This window comes from Homo sapiens, chromosome 2 (genome assembly GCF_000001405.40).
Source record: "Homo sapiens chromosome 2, GRCh38.p14 Primary Assembly".
In the NCBI taxonomy this organism is placed as follows: domain Eukaryota; kingdom Metazoa; phylum Chordata; class Mammalia; order Primates; family Hominidae; genus Homo; species Homo sapiens.
Genome location: NC_000002.12, coordinates 6,127,596 through 6,135,613, shown reverse-complemented (window position 1 = coordinate 6,135,613; position 8,018 = coordinate 6,127,596).

Below are 8,018 nucleotides of genomic sequence, written 5' to 3'. Positions count from 1 at the left end.
TTGCAAATACTGTTAATTCATTCCTTTGTATGGCTGAGTAGTATTCCATCATATATATATATATATATATATATATATACACACCAGAGTTTCTTTATCCACTCATTGATTGGTGGACTTTTCGGTTGGTTCCACTATTTTGCAACTGTGAATTGTGCAGCTATAACCAGGCATGTTCCACTATATTTTTTGAATAATGACTTCTTTTCCTCTGGGTACATACCCAGTAGTGGGATTGCTGGATCAAATGGTAGTTCTACTTTTAGTTCTTTAAGGAATCTCCACGCTGTTTTCCACAGTAGCTGTACTAGTTTACATTCCCATCACCAGTGTAGAAGTGTTCCCTAATCACCACATCCATGCCAAAACCTACTGTTTTTTGATTCTTTGATTATGGTCATTCTCACAGGAGTAAGGTGGTACTGCATTGTGGTTTTGATTTGCATTTCCCTGATCATTAGTGATGTTAAGCATTTCTACGTATGTTTGTTAGCCAATTGTTTATCTTTTTTTGAGAATTGTCTATTCATGTCCTTAGTCCACTTTTTGATGGGATTGATTGTTTTTTTCTTACTGATTTGATTGAGTTCTTTGTAGATTCTGGATATTATTCATTTGTCAGATGTACAGATTGTGAAGATTTTCTCCCACTCTGTGAATTCTGTTTACTCTGCTGACTGTTCCTTTTGCCATGCAAAAGCCCTTTAGTTTAATTAGGTCTTAGCTATTTATCTTTGTTTTTATTGCAATTGCTTTTGGATTTTTGGTCATGAAATCCTTGCCTAAGCCAATGTCTAGAAGGGTTTTTCCAATGTTATCTTCTAGAATTTTTATAATTTCAGGTCTTAGGTTTAAGTCCTTAATCCATCTTGAGTTGATGTTTGCATAAGGTGAGAGATGAGGATTCAGTTTTATTTTCTTACATGTGGCTAGCCAGTTATCGCAGCACCATTTGTTGAAAAGGGTGTCAGAATGCAGTATACAGTTAGGCAGCTATGAAATATAGCTTTGTGAGGAAAACTGCAAGTTGATAAAAGGGAAACATACTTTTGTAAAATTTGAATATATAGATGGATCTTTACATCAGGCATTTCACCTAGGCCTTGCTGAATTATTTACACTTCACTTGTGAATGTCCATTGAAGATGAATGGCTGTCCAGAGCTGAGATTTTGTCCTAATGATAAGTACATAGTACACAGTGGGTGCTAAATTAATGTATCTTGAAATGAATCAGTCTTTCTAGTCCAATAATCATTTTAAAGTTAGTCTGTTCTAGGATTTATCAAGCTGGTTTGGACCTAAGAATGATATGTGGTGACTTCTCACCTCATTTCTTCCTCTAACTCATAGGTCAACAAAGGGATTTTGTGAAACCGAAAAGTCCAGGGTGTTTATCTGGCTTCAGCCTGAACGAAGTCAAAATGTTTAAATGTTGTAATATTAGTGCTCTGCTTCCTTCTGTTGCTTGACTGCTGACAAATTCAGCTTTTTTTTGGCTCCCTGAAGGAGAATTTTATCTATCTGTCTTGTCCGTTTGTCAGCATCATTAGCTATTGTCTTAGTCAGTTTGGGCTGTTGTAACAGACAACCATAGACTGGGTAGCGTATAAACAACAGCCATTTATTTCTCATGGTTCTGGAGGCTGAGAAGTCCAAGGGCAGATTAGGTGTTGGCAAGGCTCCAGTTCCTGGTTTGTAAGTGGCCGTCTTCTCACTGTGTCCTCCTTTGCCCATTTTCTGATGAGAAACTGGAAGCACCATTAAGGTGTTGACAAATATTTGCATAACTAAATACAAACCCAGGGTTTAGCAGAGGCTTCCTGGCTTACAACACTGGTGTCATTACCACTGGATGATATTACTATGAGGGGTTTTGTTTGTTTTTGTTTCAAATGTAATGTAGATTTTCCTGAAAACTTAAAAACAAAGTTTTGCCAAGACAAAGAAAAGCATTTTTTTAGCCATCCATTCATAATTTGCTTTAGATCTCAACAAATGGGCCCAGTTTGTGTATTTGTATTTGAATACATGCGAGAGTCTATAAAATACTTGGTTAAACATTTCCACTGCTCTTTGCTTTTCTGACCTTAATTTTCAATCTCTCTCTCCCTCTATCCTTCTTTCTTTTTCTCTATTCTCTCTCCCTTTCTTTATTTCAATCTGCACAACGATTTCATTCCAAAATGAATGTCGAATTCTAGGTTCTTACGCATAAAATAAAATATAAAATAAATATTTTTAAAACTTTAATGTCAAAATTCTGGCATTGCCTTTGATGTGGCCAGAATGAGTCTCTGATTTTCTATCCAGACCCTTCCCTCCCCCTCCGTCACAGGGCATCCTGTCCCTCCCCCTCCGTCACAGGGCATCCTGCTTATGAATGCACATTCATATTCTCGGCTGGGGAAATATTGCCACAGCTCAGGTACCCACTGGGCTTTTCTTTGCTTTTGACAGAAGTTATATAGAGTTTATATTTAAAGAAAGAAAAATGAAAGGTTTTTCTGAATTTCTACAGAAAATGTTGAGCTTTTTCAATGTTCCACTCACACTGGAGCTTCTTATAGAGGAGCCTAGTGATATCTTTTGCAAACAAAGGAAGCTTTTGGTGGTGCTCTTAATATGAAGGTCAAGGTTTTATTTATATTCACATTCAATTCAGAAAGAATAAAAAAATCAATACAGATATGAAGCTGGTATACATTGTCCACAAGCCCTGGTATTTTTAAATGTGACACAAAAAGGCACATGCAAAGGGAAACTGCTGAAGAAGGATTTGGCTCACAGACACTCATGAAACTCTACACTTTGCCACCAGTAATCAAATATAGAATCTGTTCTAGTTACACTTCACTACTTCTGATACACTTCAATTTATTGATTATTTTCTCTGGTGAATGCATTAAATTAATAGTATTAGAAATAGAGGGACTTCCAATACTGGTTCTTCTTTTTAGCCATTTCCCTGTTACAGAGGTCAGAGGGTTTATGCTATGTGCATTTAATGAGACTTAGAGTTGCAATGGATCAGGAATGCTCCACGGTTGAGGAAGCCAATGATAATGCCTAGCAGTGGTAGATTTTGGCTCTAATAGCAATGGCAAAAAAAGGCCGAGGCCCTTTCACTGGTCACATGTTCCTTTGCAATGACATCTTTCAGACTATACCTGCATGGTCCATTAAGCATATTGAAAATGAGACAGAATCCCTCAGCCAGGCAGAATTCTTTATCCTCTTTTTATCCTTGGATTTTGACTACAAAGAAATCTTAAGGATATGGTAAGAATTTTCTATTTGTCTGTGGATTTGCCTTCTTCCTCTCTTTCTGCCACTAACCTCAAAGTAACATTATTGAAATTGGACATACTGCACACACAAAGCCATGTGTACACATGCGAGGTGTGCTTATATTGTCAGATATTTTGGCTGTTTTTTTCTGAAATAGTATTGTTTTATTTACTAATTTGTAATTGACAAGTACAAATTGTTTATATTTGTGGTATACATGATTTTTGATATATGCATACGTTGTTGAATGGCTAAATCAAGCTCATTAACATATTCATTACCTCACATGCTTTTTGTGGTAAGAACACAAAATCGACTCTCAGCAATTTTCATGTATACGACACACTATTATTAACTATAGTCACCATGTTGTACAATGAATCTCTTGAAATTATTTCTCTTGTGTAACTGAAATTCTGTATCCTTTGACCAACATCTCCCCAGTCTACTCCCCATCTTCTGTCCCTTGTTAAAATAGTATTTAAACTGATGGGATAGATGTGTGTGCTTGTGTGTGTGTGTCTGCGTGTCTGTGTCTGTGTGTATAAATATAGAAAAGGGTAGGAAATGAAGTTATTTGCCATCATTGTAGCTGTTCAAAACAAAAGCAGTTTTGTGATTAGTTGGGGTCAAAAATACAAATAGATATTGGCAGAGGCATCTCTCCCTCGCTCAGGGCAACGCTGGTCAGCTGCAAGAGGGAACGAGAAAAACTTCCTGTTTCCCTGGGAAGGAATCAGTGGGCCCAGGAGAACAGGTCTCTCCTGACTCCCCTGTCTCTGTGAGGTCCTTGCCAGGCCCAGCCCTGAGCAAAGAAGAGCAGAGCAGTCTGTGTACCAGGCAGCTGAGCCCCGCAGAGCAGCAATGAAGGCCCTGGGCTCTCCTGGCAGGCTCCCGGACAGCCAAACAGGTCAAGTTCAGAGAATGTTCACACAAATACTTGGAAAACAAGAATTAAGATCCTTTATCCACGGTAATCCCCAGTGGGAAATACGCCAGAATCTGAGCAGAAGGTAATAAAATAAAGGAAGCCCCCTAATCATCCACATTTATTGGCTCAGATATGAATCGTGGTTCCTGGACTTCTGACTGTTGCATAGCTGCTTCTGACGTGGATGTTGTCAGAGCCAGAGCGTTGGCCTATTGAAGGCACAGTGGAAAGATGAGGGTGGATGGAATAACAACTCAAGACGCTACTTGAAACCATTAAGGTTTATGAGCACGTTTTAATCTAATACATATTAAAATGATTATATTCTATTTTATCTCATTATAAATTTAGCTTATTTTTTCTCATTGTAAAAATAAATAATAGAAATTTTTGACACTCCAAACTATTTTAAAAAAGAAAACTTTACATTTTATCATCAGAAGAAAACTACTGTTAACATTTTTATAGTTACATCTAGTCTCTATCTGTCTCTCGTCATATTAACATATATCTGACGGTTATCTCATGGTGAATGTATCATTTTTGTGCTATGCATTTTTCATATGGCATTATATTGTGAACAATTCCTAGTTTACAAATTGTTAATGAACATTGTATTCAGAGACTGTGTACTATTGCACCCTTTGGTGAAAGATAATTTTTTAAATTATTATTCTTTAACTGAAATATTAATTTTTTTGTGATATCTCCAAAAATATCAATATTTAAGACTTTGAACATAAAATCCTAACTTACTCCTACAACAATTTTTCTAGTTTAGACTTCTACCAGCAGGATGCCATCGTCAACATACTCTCCAATATGCTTATATTTTATTACTATTATTTATTTTTAATTGACAAAAATGTATACATTTATCATGCACATCAGGCGGTTTTGATACATGTGCACATTGTAGAATGGCTAAATCAAGCTAACTGATATCAGTCTTACTCTATATACTTACTTTTTTGTGATGAAAACACTGAAAATATACTTTTAGCAATTTTCAAGTATAGAATATATTGTATTAACTACAGCCACTGTGTTGTACAATAGGTTTCTAGAACTTATTCTTTTTACCTAACTTAAATTTTGTGTACTTTAACATGGATCTCCTAATCCCTGCCCTGCCCACAACCCCTGGTGACCACCATATTACCCTCTACATCTGTGAGCTTAACTTTTCTTTTTGTTTGTAGAGACAAGGTCTCACGATGTTACCCAAGCTGGTCTCAAACTCCTTGCTTCCAGCGATCCTCTTGCCTCAACCTCCAAAAGCACAGGGATTACAGCCATGAACCTTGGCAACTGAGCTGGATTTCTTATTTTTGATACGTGAGAAAATATATTTGAAGCTGTGTATATGAGTAAGAAACATACTTCATGTTTCCACAAACTTTCTAAAAATCTGTGAAAGTAAATGTTATTTACATATATTTATATAGGTACATATCACAAATTTATACCATAAACTTTTTTTTTTAATTTTTTTGAGATGGAGTCTCGCTCTGTTGTCCAGGCTGGAGCGCAGTGGCACTATCTCGGCTCACTGCCAGCTCCGCCTTCCGGGTTCATGCCATTCTTCTGCTTCAGCCTCTCGAGTAGCTGGGACTACAGACGTCTGCCACCACACCTGACTAATTTTTTGTATTTTTAGTAGAGACAGGGTTTCACCATGTTAGCCAGGATGGTCTCGAACTCCTGACCTCGTGATCTGCTCATCTTGGCCTCCCAAAGTGCTGGGATTACAGGTGTGAGCCACCATGCCCGGCCACCGTAAACTTTTTTAACTGTTAGTTTTATTTTTTGAGAAAAATTAGAAACATACGGTTTTATAGCTATATAGACCTTATATATAATTGAATTTGTAGCCTATCATTATCATATTCTAATTTACAACTCTAGGAAAATTACCCAGCCTCTCTGTACCTCAGTTTGTTTATCTACATAACAGTGGTTGGATATGGATTTTGGGGGATGATTAAATGAGTTACCTGTGGAAATGGCCTCATGGTAAATAAAGACTATTCATAGTCATTATTTTTTTTTCCCACAAATCAGAAAACTGAGGACCAGAGAGGCTAGATAATTTTCTTAGGAAAATGTAATCCAGAAATAGATATTCTGAATTATATTCTTGTGATTTCTCTATTCCCTGCATGAAACATCTAGCAGGCCAAAACATAGTTTATCTAGGTAGCTTTCCTCCACCCTAATACTGATAATGAAAAATTGACTTACATCTTACAATTTCAGGCCTTTATTTGTTTGCAGATCACATAGTCCTATGGAGAAGGTGTTTTTATTTTGTGTTTTTGTTTGGCTGGTTGGCTTACATGTTTTCTTCTCCCTGTTAGGCTTAGTAGATACTTAGCTAGGAATGCATTTCTGGAAAATAGTAACTAGACCTGCAGTGTGACCCCAAAGGCCCAGAATAGGAACCTGCACTGCCAAGAGCATGGAAGGAAGTAAAAATCTGTGTTTGCTCTTCTCAGGTGTCAGAGTCAGTTGTTCCTGAAAAATACACAGCAATCTCAGGCCAACTGACTATTGTCTATGATTCAAGATCCCTCCTTTGCCTCCAGGCTCTGAAAATACATTTTGTTTATGTGACAGAAACACAAAAACTGGGAGGAAATGAAAAATTACAAGTCTGTACAGAATAAGCCACATCTTGTCAACTCGCATAGAATATGCTTTCGTCTCCTTCGTGCGCTCTTACAGTTGAAATTTTACATTATCCATGTGATTATTTGATTAATGACTCTCCTCCAGTCTATAAACTCTATGAAGACAGTAACCATGATTCTTAAAGTAATAATTTACTGGTGATCCTCCGTATCTACTCCTTCATCAGCAACAGTACAAGAATTAATAAGCAATGGCCTAAAAGTATTTATTCATTTATTAAATACATTGTAAGTGCCTGGAGAGCGAAGGCCATTTTGTACTTCTGTGTATTTCTTTGAACAATATTAGGACAATGGAAAGGGCAGGAGTTGCATGTAGCTGAATCTGGCTTTGAATCTCTGCTCCTGCATTTACGGGCTGTCACTGAAAGATACATGATCTTTTGTAGCTTTAATATTTTCATCCTTAAAAATGAATTATTGATGATGATGATGATGATAAGAACAACCCCAAAATTTCTTCTGAGAATTAAATGACTCTGCAAAATTGTTTATCCCACCTTGTAGACACCCAACAAATGTTACTTTATTTTCTTCCTGCATGGGGCTTGGCTTCTTTCTAATCCTGTGGCCTCAGAATGTGCTAAAATACTAGCAGACTGATACACCAAGATACACGAGTCAGAGACATTGCAGTATTGGCCAAATCTCATATTGTTTTCCTCCTAGTCTCATAGTTGGATTACATTTTCCATTATCTCTTGCAGCTCAGAGGCCACAAGACTGCATTATGATGACAGGACATAGATAGAATTGTTTTACATGCATTTCAGTATGTCCAAAGCAGTCCTTATTCATGCCTGTGTTCCCGGCATTATTATGAGCACTGTGCTTTTAGCTCTCAGAAGTGTCCCAGTTTGGATGACAAATTATACGATCACTCTAGATAGACAATCATTTTCAGGCTGGGCGGTAAACCTTCCCGTACTTCCTCCCACTCTTTCTCTTTACCCAACTGCAGTCCAAGTGTGGTGGATCCTGAGGGGAAGCCTGACTCCCAGGGGATGTGGAAGCAATCCTATGTCCCTGGATGACTATGGAGCAGCCACTGTCCCCAACCCACATTGGACTATATATAAAGTGAGATATAAATAAAACTTCTTT